Source organism: Homo sapiens, chromosome 2, assembly GCF_000001405.40.
Source record: "Homo sapiens chromosome 2, GRCh38.p14 Primary Assembly".
Lineage (NCBI taxonomy): Eukaryota > Metazoa > Chordata > Mammalia > Primates > Hominidae > Homo > Homo sapiens.
In genome coordinates this window covers 85741853-85764782 of record NC_000002.12, presented here as the reverse complement: position 1 = coordinate 85764782, position 22930 = coordinate 85741853, and the positions used below count along the sequence as shown (strand labels likewise).

At 54.0% G+C, this 22930-nt stretch overlaps 1 protein-coding gene across 7 annotated transcripts in view, besides 1 other annotated feature; it reads right to left on the bottom strand.

The window, feature by feature from the left end:
• ATOH8 (atonal bHLH transcription factor 8) overlaps nt 1-10792 on the bottom strand; it is a 37393-nt gene extending 26601 nt beyond the window's left edge. For all 7 annotated transcript variants that reach the window (XR_939732.2, XR_939731.2, XR_939733.3 and 4 more), the window contains exons 1-2: nt 9826-10792; nt 601-792 (exon numbers count right to left, since the gene is read on the bottom strand). Coding sequence is in view for 4 of the 7 variants with exons in the window: in XM_011533139.2 (XP_011531441.1) it covers nt 601-792; nt 9826-10593 (960 nt within the window). In the remaining 3 variants the exon portion in view is untranslated. The remainder of the gene's footprint in view (nt 1-600; nt 793-9825) is intronic.
• Nucleotides 13903-14123: a silencer, noted in NCBI's record as "fragment chr2:85977783-85978003 (GRCh37/hg19 assembly coordinates)". NCBI's record gives its function as "represses an EF-1alpha promoter that drives an FKBP-Casp9 reporter gene in an ReSE screen in phorbol 12-myristate 13-acetate-treated (for megakaryocytic differentiation) K562 erythroleukemia cells {active_cell/tissue: K562(+PMA)}" and the evidence as "EXISTENCE:reporter gene assay evidence [ECO:0000049][PMID:32094911]".

The window sequence follows — 22930 nt, the reverse complement described above, 5'->3', positions numbered from 1 at the left end:
ACAAGAGGGTCTCCCTGACCCTCCTATGAGCTGCCTGGGGACCAGGACCATATGTTTGTCATCTTTATACCCCTGCCCAGTATGCTCAGCACATGGTTGGAGCTTCATCAGTCTCTCCAGAATGAATGAATGAATGACCATCACCGCCCTTAATGCATAGCCTCAGATAACCCACAGGCCAAGTCACCCTCCCAAAACCTGCCAAAGGGCTCTCCTGGGCTGTCACCCTGCTCAGGGGAATCTTGTCCTGGTATGACATCTATCAGAGGCCACCCAAGGAATTCAGCACCAGAGCACCTAAGGCCAGGAAGGGGATTTAGAGATAAATGGTCCTCTTCATTTAAGTGAGGAGCAAACCGGGGCCCAGAGACCCTGGGTGACTGTTCGAGGTCACCCAGCAGCCGGTTACCAGAAGTAGAGACACACCTATAATCCCAGGGATTTGAGGAGCACTGAAGCTGAGGCAACTCCCAGCAAACCTCCAAGAGCTGATCTCTCTGGCCCCTTCAGAATTCTGGGCATAGGCAGGGCACCCCCAAGTTCCTGTCCCTGCCTCCCCTATGCTCCCCAGAAGCTACCGCCCACCCAGCTGGTGCATACCTTGCGCTTCTTGGCACGTCCCTCGGCCTGCAGGGTGCGGGTGCAGCGCTGCACACACTCGGAGAAGCTGAGGTTGCTGTGGTCGGCACTGTAGTCAAGGTCAGCCAGCCGCGCCAGGGACAGGATGTAGTTACAGGCGATCCTCAGGATGGCCAGTTTGGACAGCTTCTGCCCATATGAGTAGCACGGCACCTGAGGGGAGAAGGCGTCAGGAGGGGCTGCAGGGGCGCAGTGCCCAGCCTGGCAGGCATGGGAGACGGCCTGTCTATGGTATATCTGAGCCCTCCACCCTAATCTTATGATCTGCTCTACGCACCTGCTGTTTACACACACACACACACACACACACACACACACACACGTCAGCTCATCTGCTCTGAGATATACCCACATTCCCATTTTGCAGGGGAAGAAACAGGTTTGGCTTATGCCCACCATCCAGTCAGTCTGAATCTAAGTTCAGTGAATTTCCACGACCACTACAGAGCTCTGTCCTCCACCCTCTTGAGGAGGAATCTCTCTGAGATTCCTGAGAGGCATTTTGTTTTTTCAGCTCTGATGTTCCATTCATTCATTCAGCAACACTTGTTTTGCTGGGCACTTGGGGAGTGCAACAATGAATGACTTGATTCCTACTTTAGAGAACTTACACTCGAGTGAGGTTATAATGTCACACCTGGGACTCTGGGGACATACAGGAAGGAAAGTGTCAGTGCTCAGCTGGAAAGACACAAACATGGCTGGTTTTCATTTTTTAAAAATCTTTTACTCTGTGCCCTCAGGACTTGGGGTGCTGCTGGGCAGACAACAGTGGCGTAATACACACGGCACTGAACAAACTTGACACGTTTGTCAATGATTCATCACCAACTAGCTCCTCACTAATTGCACAGGGATTTGTATGGGGTGAAAGATGGAGCCTTTAATTTTTAATATGTCTCTCCACCAATATTTGTGCTGCATGAGCAAAAAGTTCCAAAGACTGTGGTACACTTGAACAGAGTTCTGTCTTGGAACCTGGAAATAGCTCCACAAAATCAACCTGATAGGTGCTAATAGACCCCACTGTTCCTATGATGTACTGTTCACCTAAAGGGCTAACAATCCAGCAACGATGGCTCCTGGTTTACTCCTCGCTATGGCTCTTGAGGATCTACACGTGGCATCCATATCATTGATGAACTCGTATCCCACAGGGGGTGGGACGGCACGATGCATCCACACAAGTATTTAGTGAGCGCCCACCATATGCCAGGCATTCTTTCAGGCCAGTGATTCTCAACCAGGGATGATTTTGTCCCCTAGGGACAGGGGAGTGGGGGCATTGCAGGGACGGAGGTGGGCACGTAGCTAAACATCCTACAGAGCACAGGATCCTACAGTGCCCCCACAACAGAGAACTACCTGCCCCCAAATGTCGATAGTGCCAAGGATGGAAATCCCTATTCCAGAGCATGGAGAAAAAGCATGAACAGTCACCCCAGACTGGGGACCCTAAACACATCGCCCACTTTGATCTCACTTTAAACCTCACTGTGTCCAAGAACTTTCCCTGACCTCCCCTACCCTACACCAGGAGGGACAGCTTGCCCTTAATAGGGCCCTAATAGCACCCCGTCTGTCCTTAACTGCCCATACTGTGGCTCTTTAGTGCTCAGTCTCCCTATGAACTGTGGGGGGAAGGCCTATGTCTGCAGTGCCTAGCACAGGTCCTGCCCATAACAGGCCCTCAAAAGGGTTTGTTGATTAAGGCAATGAGTGAACAAATGAATGATCTCTCCCTCTGGATCTTCACTCTAGAATATTTTGAACTGGGCTCAAACACCTTTCCTCTCTCTGATGATGAAGATGAAGCTATCTGGCATAAAGCTAAGCGTATCTTTTTGTCACGTGGATTCAACTCCTGGCTCTAGCTTTGTCTAGCTGTAATGCTCTGGGCAAGAGACAGAATCTTTCTGAGCCTCGGTTTCCTTGTCATATTGGGAACAGGACTGATCTCACAAGGAGGTAAGGATTAAATGAGATGATGTGTGCATTGCATTGAGTAAGGCCTGATAGAGGTCTGTGAAAGCATTATGGTTGGTCTTGCAGAAGGTCCTCAAAGAGGGGCTCCAGAGGAGGTGAGAAGCCAGAGGTCTGGAGCCAGGACACGTGCCTGCCCTACCCTCCACCCTCTGGGGGTGCTGAGACTAGGAAACCCAGAGAGGGAGAAGAAGGCAACAGAGAAAGCCAGCTCCCATGCATTTCCATCCCTCACCCCATCTCCCACTCCCAGCCCTGGCTGCAGCTCCAAACCCATCCCAGAAATGCTGGCAGAACAATGCACTTTGCTCGTTCCCAGCCAGAGTCCAGGGAATCCTGCTTTATCAACCTGAACAAATAAACAAGGTCTGGTAGTCCTGGGGCAGGGAAGGGGGTCTCAGGGGCCAGCTAGCACTTCTGCCTCCTCTTCACCCCAGGGAGGGTGTGGCAGCCTGAGGGAGACTCTGGGGACTGGGTGCAGCTCTGTGACACAGCCCTCAGCACTGTTTTCACACAGAGGCCACACCAGGAGTTTCCCTTAAAGACCCAGCTCTTTGAGCCCATGGCCCGTAACAGCTGGGCTTCCAGGAGGGAGCAGGGATTTTGGAAGGGATCTGTACGCTGTGATCCAGGGTCACTGTAGGACCACAAAGTGACAGCTGAGGCCAAGGCCAATCTAGAGGCCCCCATGCCAGGTTCTGGGCCAGTTCTGTCCTAGATATGTCACCTTGCCCTATTGTTTCTATCAAGCTCCAGATCTAACAAGAAGAAACCCATCCATTGAGCTCCTGTATATCTGACACTGTGGTAGCTATTTACAGGTAGTATTAGCCCATTTAAAACCTTCCCCACCATCTGTACACACAAAAACAGAGAGGTGACATATTGGGCCCCAGATCACTCAGCTAAGACCCGGCTGGAGCCTGAAACTCATCTGACTGACACCAGGCACATAGCCACTAGGCTCTCCCAGCTCCCACCACCACACCGGAGGTAGCCACATAAGGGACACCAAAGGCATCTTTCAGGTTGCTCCCCTCTCCTTCTCCCCGACCCCTAGAGGCAGCTCCTTACCACCTGGCCAATTCCAGATCCTCCTGGTGCCCATGCCCCCGGATGCAGCCCCTCAGCCCCCAACAGCCCAGCTCAGAGGCACCCCAGCCTGGGCTGCCACTGCAAAGTGAGAATTTAGCACCCGTTCTGGTTCTAGGACGTCAAAGTATGGTGGAAAGAGCTCGTCTGAATTCCAGGCACTTACAAGCGGTGTGACTTTGGGAAGTGCCTTCACTCCTCAGAGCCTCCGTTTCCTCATCTGGAAAGTCGGAGTAGCAATGCCTGGGCAGCTCACAGAGCTTCAAGGACTACATCAAGCAGCTTCCACCGGAGTCTGAGCGGCACAGATTCTCCGTGACTGTTGGGCCCAGGCCACCTTGCAGTTATTACGATCTATAAGGCCAGGCAGAGGGTGGATGTTTCAAATACAATGTCTGTATTCATCTTTTAAGTGGCCCAATGAGGTAGAAATGGTCACTTCCACTTTACAGAAAAGCATGTGATTCTCAGGCATGTAGGAATTTCCTGGATCTCCCAACTGGTGAGTGAAGAGCTGCGTTTTGAACTCGTGGCTTAGCTGGGCTCTTTCCAGCATGAACTGCTTGGGGATCTGAATAAGTGTCTATAGTTTAAGGTGAGGAGGTAGGCAGCCCATCCTCCTGAGCTCGGGATGGAGAGTTCTGGGCTGATGATGCCATGAGATCCCTCTTAGAGTATCCACAGCAAGGCCCAGAGCCCACCCACCCGCACCGCCTACAGAGTCCCCCACAGCCATTGTCGGCTCACCCTGGTCAGAGGACACGGGCCAAAGGAGGAGGCAGAATTACCTGGCTCCCACTCCCGACAGACTGCCCAACTTCCAGAAAAGTAAAAGGATCTGCCTTGTGCTCATCCCACAAGGATTTTTAAACTTTGGAGGAACAGACTTTGGCATTTTCGCAAGGTCCCATATGCCCCCAAAACATTCCACCCCACCCACCCTAAGCTGGACCCAGTTCCAGCAAGCATGAAAAAACATGAAGAGCACTGGCCTGGGAGCCCGAGGGCCTGGCTCCACTCCTGGCCAGCCATGTGACCTTAGGCAGGTCCACAAGCTTACAGGACCTCAGTTTCCTCACCAGTAAAATGGGCATTAGAACACCTGCTACCTCAGAATGAGATCGCAGGAGCAAATGTGGGAAAACTTCCTAAAGAAACAACTCCGAGAACCCACCAGAGAATGCAACAAAGGCCTCAAAGCCCTCCATGCTCCTGCTTCTGTGCCAACTCCTGCCCACCCTGCAGACCCAGCCCAAGACGCCCTCCTGGAAGCCCACCAAGACTCCTGGGCCCATAGAGCTCCAACAGCACCACATCCACTACACACAGATGAGCACCGGATTCCACTGAAATTATCATCTGATCGTCTCGTGTCAGTGAGTGCTGGACTCCCGACGTGAATCCACTCTACCCAGAGCTGTTCAATGTCCTTCCCAAAGTCTATCTAAATAGGTTCTTTAAAATCCCAGCCTCCTGCACTGCCACCAGGCTGGACCCTGAGAACCTGGGTCTTGGTGGTTAAGAGCTATAGCCCCAGGGTCAGACAGGCCACAGTACAGATCCTGGTCACTCTGTGGGCTTGAGCAATCTGCGTCACCTCTCTGTAAGTGTCCTCATCTGTAAAATGGGAAGACAGCACTACGGACATCCCACAGCAGGCTCAGGTAAGGCCTCACTCAGTGCAGTGAGGCTCCACGGCAGCCACCCTGGTGACTTTGGACATGATGGAACAGGAGGAAGGCCTCTGTCACCCTTACCTACCTGCATGGAGCCCCCAGTGCAAGCAGGCCTGTCCCTCGTTGCCCGAGAGGATGGTGTACAGGCTGCTTTGCACTCCCTATGCCCTCCTTGCACCCTGTGGGGTTTCAGAGTGAGGGAGGTGCTGAGGGCACCATTCCCACGCCCTCTCCAGGGCCACCCTGAGTTCACTCGGTGAAGACCCCCTGGGAAGCTCCAGGGGCAGCAGGGGAGGTAGCCCGGGCCCCAGGTGCTTGGCATGTCCTCCGTAGAGAGGACCACGGCAGAAGCCGGGGCCCCGCACTGTCTTCCATTGCTGCCATCCTCCATCAACCCTGAGGGACCCTGAAGGGAGAGAGGAAATCCACACGCACACCACATGCCCCAAGGGTGGGCACAGCTTGTGAGACAGAAGGTCCTGCCACTCTGGCCCCTTCCCTCACCACCCCTCAAGGCCAGCCTTTCCCTTTGACCCCTCCCACCTGGCAGGGAGCAGCCCCACTCCCGGGGCCAGGCCAGCTGTGCACACATGGCCTTCACATGAGGCGGCAGGGAGGGCTCTGGTGCAGCTGCGCTGGTGGCATGTGCTGGGGCCTGACCATCTGCCCTGCACCACCCAGCCCAGACCAGACCAGACCAGAGGGCCTCTCTCCCACCTGCACCTCCCCACCTGCGGCCCTGCAGCCACCCTCCCTGCTCCCTTCCTGGTTGAGAGGACAGTGGATTATGACACAATGGGAGCCTGTCTGGCTTCCTCATGCTGAGGGTAGATGGCTCCAGGACATTAGACAGGCTGAGGAGCAGAGCTGTTAGGAGTCTGGGCCCTGGGAGCCCAACCCAAGCTCCGCAGCAACAGCGGCACACAGCTACGCAGGCTGCCACTGTACATGACCACGAGGCACCGCCACCCTGGAGGCTGGCAAACTGCGTGCCAAGGTAGCATGTAGCACAAAACCCACAAGGCCACGTGCAGTGGCAAAAGACCGGGACAACTTACATAAGCTCTCTGAAACTCAGTGTCACCATCTGTGAAACAGGGCAGGGGGTGCAATAATATCTATTTCATTAAATGAACTAATACACATAACAAGCTTAGCACCATGCCTGGCACAAAGTAAGCATGTGATGAATGCTAATTTCTGTGACAGTTATTAAAACAATTAAAGAATTCTTATTGCTTCATCTGTCGAGAGCCTTGCCCAGCCCTGAGGACCTTGGAGATGCTTAAGAAATGTTCAGTGCTCTGGCTGTGCACAGTGGCTCATGCCCGTAATCCTAGCACTTTGGGAGACAGAGGTGGGTGGATCACCTCAGCCCAGGAGTTCGAGGCCAGCCTGGGCAACATGGTGAAACCCCCATCCCTACTAAAATACAAAAAATTACCCAGGTGTGGTGGTGCGCACCTGTAATCCCAGCTACTCGGGAGGCTGAGGCAGAAGAATCACTTGAACCTGGGAGGTGGAGTTTGCAGTGAGCTGAGATCACACCACTGTACTCCAGCCTGGTCAACAGAAAGAGACTCTGTCTCAAAAAAAAAAAAAAAAATGAAATGAAAGAAATGTTCACTGCTCTTATAGGCCTCCTACCTTTCCTCACTTTCTCTTCTCAACACTGGATGAGGTCAGCAATATTACCATTTTACAACTTCAGCAACTGAGGCCCAGAAAGGGTCAGTGACTTGTCCACAGCCACACAGAAGGCATGCAGGGGAGGAACAACTCAATGCCTGGCCTCCAGTTTCCCAGATCAGTGCTTCTTTCATGGTACCAGGAAGCTGCTCAGGAGAATGAAGCCCCAGGCCAGAGCCACAATCCCAGAACCCATCTCAGTGCCACACTGGCCAAGGCCCCATTTCAGGCGGAGCTGATCTGCCTTTTGTCCATTTCCAAGGACCCATTTCAGTCAGGCCCGAGCCTAGCTCCAGAGCTGCAGCTCGTCTGGATTCGGGGAGGGGGTGCGGAGTACATTTTACAGAGAAGACTGAGGCCCAGAGGAGGAAGGGGCTCCTCCAGAACACAGGACTTCCTCTATCGAATGGGTGCCATGGTGGTGAGGAGGACATGGTGGGTGTGGCCTTGGCCCCTGGTTCTATGACCAGAAACGTCCTGGCTGTATTTCTTTCCTTCCCAGCTAACAGGCAGGTGCCCACTATGGCCTGGCAGCCTTTCTGGGGAAGGGGCAGAATGGCTAGGGCAAGGAGGAAACAAACAGGAACAGGTGCTTCTGTGACCATGCATTTGTGTGTGCTCTTGAGCACGTGTAAGGAGCATGTGTGTGTGTACCTGCCTGTGTGTTTGCATTGCATACACACGCTCTCCCTGAGAGGGCATGGGTGTGCCTTCTACTTAGATACACTGAACTTGCCCTTTTTATAGAGAACTTCCCACGGTAAGGGGGGAAGTAAAAGGAGACCAGGATGAACAATCTCATCTCAAAGGGTCTGCCAAGTGTGCACCCTGCCTTGATTGTTAACAAACATCACAGGCTGGGGGCTGGGGGGGTGGCACATGACGCTGATACAGATGGCACTGTGGGAAGCATTTGGCCAGGAGGGCATTCCAGAAACTGCTGTTATCTTCCCTAACCCACTAGGTGACCTTGGACAAGTCTCCTTCCATCTCTGGGCCTCAGTGTTCCATACTATAAAATGAGTTAATCCAATTTCGACAGGGATTATGTTTAGATCAAATGAGATGGAATTGATTGTTGAATGAAGTAAAAGTCAGTGGGCACATGAGATGTAACAAAGCACTCAGATGAGTATTCTCTCAGCATACAGAGGCAATAGAGGAGCACAAGGGCCCAGAACCTGCAGTCAAAGCCCCTAGGTGCCAGCCCTGACCTGCTACTCAACAGCTATGAGGCTCTGGGCACGTGCCTCCCCAGTCTAGGAGGGGCTTCCCTAGTGGCAAGGTGGGCAGGTGGACAGGCATCTCTCTGCCCTTCTGTTATCCTTCTGTCCTGGGGAGTGGGTTGCAGGATCCCCCACGCACCGCCACCTCTACCCAGCGATGCAGACACAGAGCTGCTGGCTCAGGGTGGGACTGACTGCTCCACTGGACCCACCGCCCAGGGTTCCAGCTGGTGTGGATGAGGGCAGAGGCCCAGCCTGGTCTGTGACAGCCACCCGTCCCCCACCCCCACCCCCACCCCACCTCACTGACCACTTTCCCCAAGCCCAAGCAAGACACTTTGGCTCAAAAGTCATAGGGCCTCTTTCCTCCAAGGATTCAATTTCCTTTCCATGGATGGACACAGGCACTACTGCCCCACCCCACCCCAACCCCCAGCAGGAAGAGGAGAGTGATCCAAAAAGAAGATCATGGTTTCTGAAATGTTTTGTTGCTGGATAAAGCCCAGAGAAGTTGAGCAACATTCCTGGAGTCACACAGCAAGTCAGCTGCAGAGTATGCAAATAAAAAGAAAAAAAAAACACCCTTCAAACCAGCCACATCTACCCTAACCCTTCCCCACGCCCTGTGTGGGGGTGGGAGAGAACTCACCACCTCCTTCCTAGAGCTCCTTCTCGCTAAGAAAATAAGAAGCCTAGAAGCCCAAGCGATTGTCCCGCCCCACCACGGGTAATTCTTGGGTTAAGTATTCTTCCGCTACCTGCGCAGGGGCACTGTCTGGTGAGGGCAGCCCGCACCAGCCCCAAACTAAAAAGTCCCGGACCCACCCCAGAACTAGGCTCTGAAGATGCTCCAGAGGGAATCCCCAACCTAGGCAGTCCCCTCGGCAGAGCTGCCTGCTTCACCACGGGTGAAAGGAAGGGATCTGCTAGAAAGACTCCCACCAGCCGATTCCTGAGCCCACCCCTGGGGAGAGGGCACAGGCTTGTAGCGCGGGTTCTTGAGGATGCCAGGGCAAGGAGTGCATAGCCCGGAAGCAACCTGAGTGTTCGGGGCATCACCGCTGGGGCCTGAAGAGGGGCTGACAACTCCCCCGGACTGTCCCACCGCAGCGTTCCGGACCTTGCCACCACCAACTGGAGAAGGCTCCCCCCTTCCTCCGCTGACAGATTCCCACATTTCCCCTCTCCACTCCGCACCGCGCCCAGGGGACTCCGGCAGGCAAATACTCGCTGCCATAAAAGTGAACTATGGAGGCTGAAGTCAGAAGCGCAGACAGCGTTACCCCCGAGGCGGGGGTTGAGGGCGGGGGGTGCTCGGGCCAGAGATAACCAACTCTTATAGCCACTTTGAAAACTATGATCCATACCCTAGGACTGCCCACACCTGTCTGGGCACCAGGGTCGGACCGGGCGGGGCAGCTTGCCCCTTAAACACACCTCTATCCCGCCCCGGCCACTCGCCCACCCATTCCCGCAGTCGTCCCCCGGCGCAGTGAGGGCGTGCGGCGGCGAGCGGGTACCTGCTTCCTGAGCGCCTCGAAGGCTGCGCTGATGGTGTGCACCCGCGTCCGCTCCCTGGCGTTCGCCAGGAGCCTCCGGGTCTGCTGCAGGGCTTTGATCTCGGAGGAGGCGGCAGTCGCTTCGCCCGGTCGTTTCCTAGGCGACGCGGAGGAATCCTGGTGGTTATTGTAAATTACGTGTGAAATTGACGAGTAGGAACTTTCCCCGGGGCGCGTCGGGGGCGCAGGGCGCACAGTGGACTCCGGGGGCGCTGGCGGTGCTGGGGGTGCTGACGGCGCGGGGCGCGCGGGCGGTGCGCACAGCAAGATGCGAGGACGCAGACCCGGCTCCCGGAAAGGCTGTGCCTCTGGGCCCCCAGGTGCCTGGCTCTGGGGCGCAGGAGGCGGCGGCGGCGGCGGCGTGGGGAGTCCTGGCCCCACTGCGCCTAGGGCGAAGCAGCGTTTCCGCGCGTCGGAGACCTCGGGCGCCCGAGAGCCCCCGCGCTCCCCGGCTGTGTCCGTGCCCCCTCTTGGGGGAACGGCCGGCGCCACTGGGACTGGCACCGGCACCGGTACCGGGACCGGCTGCAGCCGATGGGTCCTGTCCCGCAGCCCGTTGGTGGCTACGGCGCGGGGCTCGGGCGCTTCCAAGTCCAGTCGGAAAGTTTTATAGCCGTTCGCGCGCCGCGCCGGCTCCTTGCCTTTCCGCTTGAGCTTCTTAAGGCCGTTCAGCTCCTTCACGCACACGGTCTTCCACGGCCCGTCCTCGAGGACCGGGATGTGCTTCATGGCGCGGGCGGCGCGCGAGGCAGGGGCGTGGGGCTGCCCGGGCCGCCGCCGCGCTCAGCGCCGAGGAGTCTCTGGCTCTCCCGCTTCGCCCGCCCTCCCCCTCCCTCTCTCCCTTTCTCCCCCTCGCCCCGGGCAGCTGCGCCGCCGGCTTCGGGAAGCCGCCGGGCTGTCCGTTCCCGGAGCGCTCAGAGTGTCATCTGAAGTCGCTGCCTCCTTGCCAGCATTTCTGGAGAACGCCCGCTGCGCTCCATCTGTGTTTGTTTAGCCTCAGTTTACACAGAAGCCCAGTTCGCGAGATCAGTCAGCGCCGCCGCCCGGAGAGGAGGCAGCTCCCGCCGCCACCGCCTCCCCAGCCCGGGCCGCCCGAGCCGCGAGCGCCTTTAAAGAAACAGGAAGCATTTTTCAAAACAGCTGGGCCGCCGGCCGCCTCCTTTGTCCGCGGGCTCCCTACCTCCCCCCCACCCCCATCCCCTTGGCCCAGAACCTGCCTCCTCCGGCGCTCCCTCCCCGCCCCTACTCTAGTCGGGGGCGCTTCTATGTTCCCAGAGGACAGTCCGCTCCTGCACAACCGCCCCGAGCACGTGACTTATGGGCCCCCGGCCCTTCCCCAAATCACAGCGGGGCCTTTTCTCCCTGGCCTTGCCGGCCTCTCGGTGACGCAGCTCCGACCTTGCCCACCCGGCACCTTCCCGCCGCTCCCTCCGCCCCAACTCGCCACGAGACAGAAAACGCCGGGAGCTGGGACTTCTGCTGGGGGCCGATGGGGAAGGGGAGACTCCGGAGTTGCCCGGCGACCCACACCCGCCCGGCACGGCAACCCAGTCCACTCTCACTTGCTGGAGCGGGAAAGCAAGAGGAGCAGAGGGCTTAAGACAGGGAAACTGAGTTTCCGAAAGCTCCAAAGTCACGCAGCAAGTCACAGAGGCAGAGGAGGGTGGAAGCTTCGGATTTAGGCAGACCTAACGTCTGCGAGCCTCCGCAGTCACCTCACTCCAGGCGCCCTGCTAAACCGGGATTTACTCATCTGTGAAATGAGAAATTCGGAGAACAACGCCTAAGTCACAGCATTGCTCTGAGGAATTAAAGCACTAGGCACATAGGAACGGGTCGTCAAATGGTAGCTGTGGTTGTTGTTAGTATTATTTATTGAGGCAAAACAGCTACTTGAGGCAGATTTCCTGGGCTCAAACCCCAGCTCTGCCACTCACTGAATGACCTTGGGAAAGTCACTTAACCTCTCTGTGCCTCCCTTTCCTCACCTGTAAAACGAGGGTCATAATCGTACCTTCCTCCCCAGGCGGTGTGAAAAGCGTGTATGCGCAAGGCACTCAGAGCAGTGCCTGGCACCAGGTGAGAGCTTTGCAGGTGCCCACGGTTATTGGCAAGGGGCAGAGGTAGACCCCCCAGACCCTCAGTCATCAGTGCCATTCCACTGGAGATTCTGGAAAGAAGGGGTCAAACTAGTAGGCCCTCAGATGTCCTTGCCAGAGGACTGCTTCCCAGCCGCTCCCTTCCGAGGCTCAGAACAGGGCTTCACTCCTTGCTGGTCCCTTCTCTGTGACTGTTACTCCTTAAGGAAGGTGGACACTAAAAGCCAGCAAGGTGGTTTGGGAGAAGATGGACCCTTGACCCTGGCCTTGAACTCTGATGAAAACACAAGGGCTCACACAGAGTGGAGTGCTTCTCTCCTCCATGGGAGAATGCCTAGGGGTGGAGGAGGCAGATGGCACGCAGGGTGCTGGGAGGTGGGATGGGGATCTGGGCATAGCTTTGGGGGCAGGAGCATGGAGCTCCAGCCAGCAGCCCCGGTTGAGCCTTGGTTTGTCAACGACGGAACCCCATGACCACGAGCAAGACGTTTCCTCCCACCGTCACTCTTTTCTGTCTTTGAGGATATTTCCAGCCAACCTTCTCAGGGTAGCTGGGAAAGGACAAAGAGATGGATGTCAAAGGACTTTGACATAAGACTTCAAACATAGACACACACACACACACACACTGAGGCATGCAGTTTTCTGAATATAGTAAATGCAAAATCTCATTTTGCCACCAAGGTGGGTGCCAGCATCATAAAGCATGTGCTCCCGGAGACATCGTCTTCCCTGGACACCTGCATATTCCTGCACCTTATCTCTGTCCTGGAGACCAGGTGTGTGCTGCCAAAGAGGAGCCCTCATTCTCCTGTCGTTTCCCTGCTCAGCCTCGAACCCTAAAGTTCTGGCCTTTGCTCCCAGGTCTCCCACGGCTCCCCTTTGCAACGCACACTCTTCCTCACCCTTCGATGAACAGCTCCGGTCCCCCTCCTCCCGCGAACCTTCCCTGCTCACCATAGCCTCCAATTGCTCTTGCTGGCCTGTGTGCATGCTTGCTCAAAAGTCCTGCTGCAACTTAGCCTCCACTGCAGCCCTGTTGGAACTCCTGGGCTTGTGCGTTCCTCAAAGGCGCACTCTTGCCTTCCTCCCTGTCTCTAAAGGCTGGTGCTCAGGAAACCTCTGATAAGGACAAGCAACCCTCGTGCCCTTTACACTCCTGTCTGGAGACCCAGTCCTCCTGTGCATCCAGCCAGTCAGTGGCAGAGATGGAGGAAAAGTGACACTCCTTCTCCAGGGCTGCTCAGGTACTCTCTGAGCTTCAGTAGCTTCCTCTGTAAAACGGGAGTAATGATACCGTGCCTCACACGGCTGCAAGGACTCAAAGACGCAGCATGTGCAGCATGTGGCATGATGCCTAGAGTCTAGGGAATGGTGACCTTGGGCATCCTGGGTCAGCCAGCTGCTAAGGCCCCCTTGCATCCCAGACTTGGGTGTAGCTGAAGACTGGGGTGCCCGTGGCTGGTGAGGTTGTGTGAGAAGTCTCTAGCAGGACTGAATTTTGTCCTTAAAGAGGCCAAGCTGTGTCTGGGAAAATCACATCTTGGCTGAATACCAAAGGATCCACTCATACTGATCCTAAGCCCCGTGCCAACTTCCCCCCAAATAGAGGAGAAGGTCACCGAGATCCCATGGGGCAGGAGGAGGCGAAGGGATTGGATAGGAATGATCAGCCATGCAGGGTGGAGGTAGAGCAGGGCTCCAAGCCGGGCTACAGGCTTCCAGACAGGCTCTTTCTCCTCAACATGCTGCCTCTCCCGCTGGCCAAATGCCAGGGCCCCAGAGTTGGCAACAGGCAAGCCCAGAGGGATCTTCACCTTGTCACGTACCAGGTGTGTGACCTTGAGCAGCTCCCTGACTTCTCTGAGCCTCTGTTCACTATCTGGGCATCATCTCTTGAGTCTTGAGATGGAATGGTGTGTGTGGGAACAGGCGACAAATTGTAAAGAGGCCGATTGATGTGGAGTCCCTGCTATTGCCATTGTCAGCCTGCCAGGTTGCAGACCTTCCAGGTCCAGGCTGGCTGCCCACGCCCCACCAGCCTAGGGGTCAAACCTGTCTTCCAAGGGCTCTCACTTCTGCCTTCCTCAGCCTTGCTGAGAATTGGGGCAGAGACCAGCTGGGCAGCACCCCCTGGTGGTATCACACTATTGGGACTGCACACAACACTGCGGTCTCCCCATGAGGAACTTTTGCCCATTGTGGTGGCCCTGTAATGACAGTAATGTGGATTTCATGAATTCATAGACTTTCCAGGATAAAAAGTCTCCCAAGGCTCCATTTGGCCCTACTCACACCTTTGGATGGTACAATGCAGACGACACCCTATGCCCTTCATTAAAAACATCGCCCACTGAATTAACCATTTGAGGTGACCCTGGGATCGAGGGATGTTGTCACTGGAAGATTCCATACCCCTTTGGATGGCTGGTCTAGGGAAAAGGAATAAAGATAAAAAGGGAAGGCAAAGCAAGAGCTTAGGGGTCAGGCCACTGGGAACAGATATTAGAAAGTCAGGCAATCGTTAATTCTTTAATACTGCCATGCAAGGAGTGCATACAAACTCTATCTCACTAATCCTTATCATCACCCAGGGAAGTAAACCCACTCTACAGATAAGAAGACTAAGGCTCTTAGTGGGGAAAAAAATAATCTTGCCAACAGAAAGAACAGTCACTGGGTGCGGTGGCTCACGCCTGTAATCCCAACACTTTGGGAGGCCGAGGCTGGTGGTTCACAAGGTCAGGAGATCGAGACCATCCTGGCTAACACAATGAAACCCCGTCTCTGCTAAAAATACAAAAAAATTAGCCGGGCATGGTGGCGGGCGCCTGTAGTCCCAGCTACTCGGGAGGCTGAGGCAGGAGAATGGCGTGAACCCAGGAGGCGGAGCTTGCAGTGAGCCGAGATCACGCCACTGCACCCCAGCTTGGGCAACAGAGCGAGACTCCGTCTCAAAAAAAAAAAAAAAAAAAGAACAGTCATGGGATTTGAACCCAGGCCAACTGACCCCAAAACCCAAGCTCTGAACCACTGTGTCCGCTGCCTCCTGAGAGCTCAGTGACTAGCATCTGGGAGGTGATAACTGGGCCACCTATAGGGCTGGCCTGTGTAAGCCAGCTCTTCCTGCTGTGCTGCCAGCCTGGTGGGCTTCTTGCTGTCAACCTCTCAGCTGGAGCCACTGGCCTCCCTTGGTCCAGCACAGTGCACTTCTAGCTCCTTCTAGTCAGGGTCAGATGGCAAGGGCATATAGAGCCCAGATCTTGGTATCCAGGCACTGGAGCCCTCCCTCCTTGCAAGTGGAATCTGCCCAGCAGTTCCTTGGTGCACACACCACCCGAGTGCAGACAGGACAGCCCTGCAGGCCAGTGATTAGCTGCTTCTTGGCCGGATAGGATGGAACCTTGGATGCTTGCTACATGAAGCTCTGCATTCCTGAATCTGGAGTCCCTATTTATGGCTGTTCAGATTGTTCCAAAGTAGGTGTGGCACCCGTTAGAGAAAGGGAGGAAGAGTGGAAACTAGACTGCCATGAGGAAACTCTCCTAGTGGAAACAGACACAGCATGAATGGTGCCCCCCTGGGGTGGTACTCACAGCAGCTCCAGAAAGGGCCAACCAGGGGAATAAGAAGAATCCAGAGTTCCTCCCCGCCTCCCATTCACAGTGCTAGCACTGCCACCATTAACCAGCAGGACATTGGATCCAGAGGACAGTGATGAGGCATCCAGGCAGGAAGCTCTTTCAGACTCTCCTGCAATCTTCCTTCTACCTTCCTCTATTCAAGTGGCCATCCCAATTATGGAAAACCGAGTCTTTGGGGCTGGGCAGATGCCAGATAAGGGCACTCTCTCCCTGAGACCCGCTGTGTGCACCATCTCAGCACATGCTCTGTGTACCTTCTTAACACATGTGCAGAGGGCAGTGCCCAGGGGGTAGGGTTTAGTCCTGACTCTTGGTCAGAGTGGAAAGGGAGAGTGGGGAGGGAAAAAGGTCACGAGGGTTGTCAACAAAAAACAGGAGGAGGCTGGCATGACATATCTCCACACCATTGGCCAGGTGTCCTGTTAAAGCAGGACATATGTCATTTCTCTGCTTAAAACCTCCGCTTGAATTCTTTTGCTCGGATGTTCGTGGCTGCTATGAATTCCTTCCCTCCCTGCATGCATGGAGAGGTGGAGTCTGTCCCTCCATTGCTGGGAACCTGGGCTGGCCTGTGACTGCTCTGGCTAATGGAGCCCTGCAGAAGTGCTGCTGTGCTTTATGGAGACTGGCTGTTTAGGCTTCCGGCCAGTTGGAAGCCTTTAGTTGCTAAGTGAGAAACCCCGGTGGGTTCTGCTGAAGAGAGAGGCCACATAGAAAGCAACACAGTGCCAGACATATGAGTGAAGAAGGCTCTCAGCAGAACCTTATGGGTGCCTCCAGCCCCAGCCTCTAGCTGGCTGCAGCCCCATGGGGGAACCCACTAAAGAACCACCCGGCTGAACCCAGTCAACTAACAGAAACATGAGAAAGAATATTAAATGGTTGTGTTAAGCCACTACATTTTGGGGTGGTTTCTTATACAGAAATAGAGAACTGAAACATTCGAGTAGGAGCAAAAGTTGACATCTGGTCCCCCATTTCCTCTCTAACCTCATCCCCCGCCCTAGCCCATATACTCTGCTCTCACCACACAGGGCTCCCTGCCATTCCTTGAACCTACCCAGCAGGCTCCCACCTCAGGGCCTTTGCATTGGCTGTTTACTGTGCCTGAAATGCCCTTAGCTCGGGTAGCCTCAGGGTTCACTTCCTCACCCCTTTCTGGTGTTTCTATGTCCCCTTCTCAGTGAGGCTGTCCCTAATCACACTCTATGAAGTTTGTACCCTTCCCCTTCAGTATTATCTACCTCTTCCTTGCTTTATTTTCAATGGCATTTACCATCATCTGCCATACTATAGATATCACTGGTTGCTTGGTTTCTGTCTCCCATACACTAGAAGGTCAGTTCCATGAGGTCAGGGATTTTTGCCTGCCTTGTTTACTGCTATATCCCAGCCGCTAGAACAATCCCTAGTACACAGTAGACACTCAATAAGTACTTACTGAGTGAATGAAGGTCCACTCCTCTGTTTGGACCAAGACCTGCTCAGCTATTTAGTCAGCTGCTTTGACCAGAAAAAAACAGTGGATCCAGAGACAGAGTTGGTCATGTCAAAGGCACAGCTGCCCTGACTGCCAAGAACTTGTGGTTGTCTTGAATCCACAATCTTTTCTCTGGCATTGGGTTCCCCAACCTGATCAATTGAGTTGGGAGCAATGGATTCAAGTCAACAGTCATTCTTACACTGGACAGAACTCGAGCTGAGCCGGGCACTGTAATGGGGCTGGTTAGAAAGATAAGTTTGGTGACTGGGCACGGTGGCGCACTCCTGTAATCACAGCACTTTGAGAGGCTGAGGCAGGTAGATCCCTTGAGGCCAGGAGTCTGAGACCAGCCTGGCCAACATGGCGAAACCCTGTCTCTACCAAAAATACAAAAAGTTAGCCAGTTGTGGTGGCACACACTTATAATCCCAGCTACTTGGAAGTCTGAGGCAGGAGAATCGCTTGAACCTGGGAGGCGGAGGTTGCAGTGAGCCAAGATCACGTCATTGTCCTCCAGCCTGGGTGACAGAGCGAGACTCCATCTCAAAAAAAAAAAAAAAAAAAAGAAGAAAGATAAGTTTGGTGAGGTTTCTGCCATCAAGAGCTCACGTCCTGCAAAGAGACCATCCTCATCCCTTCCTTTATCCACCATAAGCCTTCGCTACCCTCTGTAGAGCACCTGCTAAGCCTGGGGTTATGCAGCAGTGAATAGAGCAAAACCTCTACCCTGTGGAGCTGACATTCTAGTAAGAGGAGACACAGTGCCCACCTCAAGGAACTCCGAGTCCAGTAGGAAAGATAATGCAAGTCTGAACCAGTACGAAGTGATAGACACTAAGGAAAAAGCTGTAGGAATTCAGAGTGTAGCCAAACAGCTCTGGGGGACTTCCTGGAAGAAGAGGCATTTAAACCAGGCTGGAAAGATGGTGGGATTTGGCCGGGCAGACCACCTCCCTGAGAAATGCCTATGGCTTGCTTCCTCTCCTCCTCCAAACCTTTGCCATTATGTCACTTGGTCACTGAGGCCTCCCCTTACCACCCGTTTCCAGCTGGAGCCACCAGCCATTTCACCTTATGACATGCTCTATGCTTTACTTGTGCAGTGTGCTTGTTCTGTGTCCCCACTTGAAGGAGACAGGAAGTGGCAGGTAGGAGCAGTGCTTGGGTGTGGGCAGAGCCCAGTGAGGTTCCCACTGGCAGGTGACATGACACTGTCCTGACCGTTGAGGGTCTGTTAGGGATGATTTCAGCCTCAAGGAGCCCTGCCTAAGGAAGAAACATGGTCGGCCCCAAGAGGATAAGTGCGCTGCCTTGGAGCAGCCAAGTCTCCAGGCTCTCGGCTTCCTCTGCCTGGCATCTGACTTGTCCCTGCCTTCTCTTGCTCCTCTTCCCTCCCCCTGACATCCTCCTGTCCCCCAGATTCTTCATTCTGAAGGCTCTGATGGATGCAGGAAGAAGGTTAGGGTCCCCTGCTGGTGCTCTGCTCCTCTCCTGTGCCCTGTGAGATTCTGTTTCTGCAAAACAATATTATTCATCATATTAACCTGTTTGTTAAAGTGAATTTTGATCACCTTTGTAGTTTTGCTTGTATTCATTTATTAATTTGTTTTGGGCTTATAGTTATATAAGAATTAAAAACATAAAGTACAAGAGCATAATTCTGATCTTAGGGTTCTGGGACAATGTGTTTCCTTTTGGGACGAGGGCATATGTTACTCAAGTTCAAGAAGCTCTGGGCTGGACACTCTCTGAGTTTTCTGCACCTCTGACTTAGTGGTCTGGAAGTTGAGAGATGCATTCTCTTCCCAGGACCAGCTCGGTACCCTTCGGCATCTGCCTCCCCTGTCCTCTATCTTCCCCCTCCCGCCCCACCGCAAGCCTCAGCCTCTTCATCTGTAAACGGAGAAAAGAGAGGGGGAGCTGGAACCCACAGATCTCAAGCTCTTCCCATCCCTAGTGTCTTAGGATTTGTCTTAAGCCTCTTAAAAACCCCAGAGCACAGCAGTGGGGAAAAGTGAAACATTCACCCGTGAGAAAGTGAGCTCCCCTGCATGCCTAACATCCATCGCAGGCAAGAAAAACTGTCTCCCAGGGCCTCGATGAGCCCAATGAACATCAACGAGGGATGAGCCGGGAGGGCAGACAGTGAGCAAGCTGCTCATTAGGGCTCTGCTCATCAGGACCTAGTTGTCAACAGCCTAACCAGGCTTGGCTTGAGCCAGCGATCTCCTGGGAGCTGTTAGCAATCCCTGCAGATGTGCTTTGCGGCTAGATGTGAAGTTAGAGTGTGCTGACTTCTTCTTCATCTTCTTCTTCTTTAAGGAAAACAACTTTCAGTTCCCCAAGGAGCACATTCCTTCATTGTGAGGTCTTCCCTCCGCATTTCCCCATTCCCTCAGAAAAGAAAGGAAGCAAAAAAGCCTTGGCTGCTGCTTCTGTGTAGGCTCCTCAAACAACAACAACAAAAAACTATTTTTGCAGCTCTCTGAAAAAGTCCCCACTGATGGCAGCAGCCAGAGAACATGAGGGGGCAGAACAGAGCTGACGCAATGCACATTTATTAGCAGTGAGGAAAATTAATAAGGCACCAGCTCGAGGGCAGCCCCACAGACCTGGATGCCCCAGGGACAGCTGTAGACCTGGTGGTCCCCAGGCTGAGTCCTCAAGATGCCTAATCAGTTGCAATTCTAGATCAGCACAGCTGGAGGGAGGCTTGGAGATCATCTAGTCCAGAGGACAAATGCTTTTTATCACGCATGCCAAATCTAATTGATTGGTAGAGGCTGCCTGAAGCTCTGTGTTGAAAAGGATCCTGAGGCTGCATCTGGGTCCCTTTGGGAATGAGTGCTATAATTGATTAGCAATGTCTGCCATGGATGAAAGAAAAGGAGTGGCAGGATTCACACCATGTGTTTGCCACTCCTGGTCTAGTTCGATCCTGCCTTTTTTTTTTTTTTTTTTTTTTTTTGATGAGAGAGACTGAGTCCTGACGCCCGTTGTTGGTAGGGTTTTTCCCAGCCTTCTCAGGAATCTGACTACTGTTGGTCAGTGGCAGGTAGCCTGAATGTCTCTGAGGACTGAAGATGTCAGATCCAAAGACTGTCTCCAAAAAGCCAGAACAACTGCTGATTTTAGTTAATGCTATAAACTGCCTGTTTCCTGGAAATAATCGGTAAAATTAGTTGTCTCGTGGAATCGACTGGTCAGTTCAACCAATGTAGGTGATGTATCAGGCCCAGGTAAGCCCCAAGCCAGTGTCTACCTAACGTTAGTGCTCAGTTTGGCCAAAAAGAGTTCATGGGGGAGGCTAACCAACTATCTGAGCTCAAGACAATAGAACTCCCAAGTGGTCAACAAAGTTGTTCTAATCAGATGGATCACTGGCCGTCTGATTACTACCAGACAAGCTTGAGTCAAGGTGTTCTAGCCACCCTGGCCAGGACTCTACCTCCCTCACCATCATCTCCTCCTGCCCTTCCAGCCTGGCTTCTTTCCTTTCCCCTTTTGAGCCCGTGACAGATCCTGCTTCCTCTGCCAGAGAATCCTTCTGCAGTGGGCTGAACACCTCGAGAAAGTCTTCCTGACTGACCCTTCCAACACCTGCAGATAGTTCCACTGCCTTAGAGCCTCTCCTTCCATCTGTGACAGCTCAAAAACCATTCAGGCCACTCCTCATTTTAAAACTGAGGAAACTGAGGCTCAAGAATGGACATGGCTCACTTGATATCACACAGGAGGTAGACTGTTGACTTTAACCAATTGCCCCCCACTCAGTTGGCTCAGGTCTCCTGATTCCAACTCCAGGGTTGTGGTGGCTGCCTGGGGAAAATCCATTCTGTCTGGTTCACTGAGTTTCGTGCGTGACTCAGAACAACACAGATAACTTCTGAGGACTCCTGGAAGTGGGCGGACCTTCACTTTGGGGTGGCAAAGAACTTGACATGTGATGGGGGTGTGTGGGGGAGTGTGAGGGTGGCGTGGGTCATTGGTAAGGGGGGTAGGCTGCAGGAGAGGGCTGACCTGATATGAACCCTGGGGGGACTGCCAAGGGGCCCAGCCACTACCTCCTGGGAACAAGGAAACAAGGTAGTTTATCTCTCTGGCTTCGGAGCGTTTGTCACACTGCCCCCTGGAAGTCTACCCTGGCATCTTAGGTCCCCAACATTCCCCATCTTGAATTCAACAATCCTCTTTTGAGTGGGGCAGGGAAAACAAGCCCTTCCACAAGGAACTCGGCTAAGTGAAAAGTGGCCCTCAGCGGTGGTGGACAGAGCCCAGGCTTTGGACAAGGATGGTCCCGAATTGACCCTTGGCTCACCACCTACAAGCTGGGAGTTTGGCTGAGTTCCTTGATCTCACCGGGCCTCAGTTTCCTTGTTTGCAAAGCTAGGATAGAAAGATTACTGGCCCTCATAGGGTTGTTGTGAGGATTAAAGGGAGATTATCAATGTAAAGGGCTGAGCACAGGGCTTGGCAGATGGCAGCTAATAACTGCACCTTGAACGTCTCTCCTCTCCTCTCAGTGCAGTACCATACATGCTTCAGGGCTCTGATCCTACCACACCTCCTTCAGGAAGCCTTCCCTGGACACACTCAGCCCAGAGGAACACACTCCGCTCTTGGGAACTTCCAGGCTCACCTGCCAGTGTTCTATACTGAAAGCCTTGTTTCTCCAAAGAACCCACAGATCACTGGGGGCTGATGTGGTTTGCAGCCCTCCTTGCTCCTGCAGGCTCCCAGCTCAGAGCTGAACACACAGCACATGCTGAATAACATGGCTGCTCAAGCTCCTGGCACCCTCTCCCCGCCCCAGCCCACCTTATTCCCCCAGATCCCCTGATTTTCCAACCCCCTGTCTCATTTGTTCCTAATGCTTCTGTCTCCATGTCTCCAGAGCTCTGTTTGCATGAGGGAAAAAACTCTACATACACACACACACACACACACACACACACACACACACACACACACAGCCCAGAAAGCATCCAGTTGCTCCCGGGCTGGCTGCCAGCGATTGAGTGACCTGCAGCTTCCTCCCCAAATCACATTCCACTGGCACGGATCTTGCCCCGCCTGACGCCAGCCTCCGAACTCGCCCCCAGAGCAAACATTTCCAGTTGGCAGCTCGGCCTTGTTTTTCTGAGGCCCTGATTCGGGCTCCCTTGTAGAAAACAGAAAACAAAATGCATTGGACCAAAAATGAAATGAAATAAATTTTAAAAGGATGGAGGGCTGGGGGAAGGCATTTGCTCCAAGTCACATGGAAAAATAGAAGCTTCAGGGTGTACAAATAGCGTTTAAGAAGCAAACACACATGCTCACCATCCCCCCATCCTGCTGGCTTTGAGGCTGTGATCAATTCATTCAGGCTGCTGCCTCCCGCTAAAAGACTTACTCTGTTCTCATTCACAGCTGCGAGGGGAGGACCCGGGAGAAGGGTGGTGGGAGACCACAGATCTGAAAGGGGAGGGTGATCGGGGTTACAGGACTGTTGTTTGTTCCAAAGGGGAAATTAGAGGAAGAAAAATAAACATGGCCAGCCACATTTTAACCCCAGTGCGCGAGGAGTCCGGGGATGGACAGGGTATGTGTGTGCGTGTGCTGGCGTGTGCACATGCCTGTGGGCGCCGCCGTGTTTGCCTTCTCAAAATAAGAGCTGCTCAGTGGAAAGATGTCATAACCCAGGCTCAGGCGGCAGGGGGACGGGCCAGCCAGGGGGGGCAAGGCTGGCGCCCAGGCCTGCCCATGGGGTCAGGCAAAGGCCGGGTGTCAGAACAGGGGAGCTGTGAGTCAAGGGCCAGGCGTTTGATGCCGAAGGTCAGCCCCCAGCTGGGGCTCAG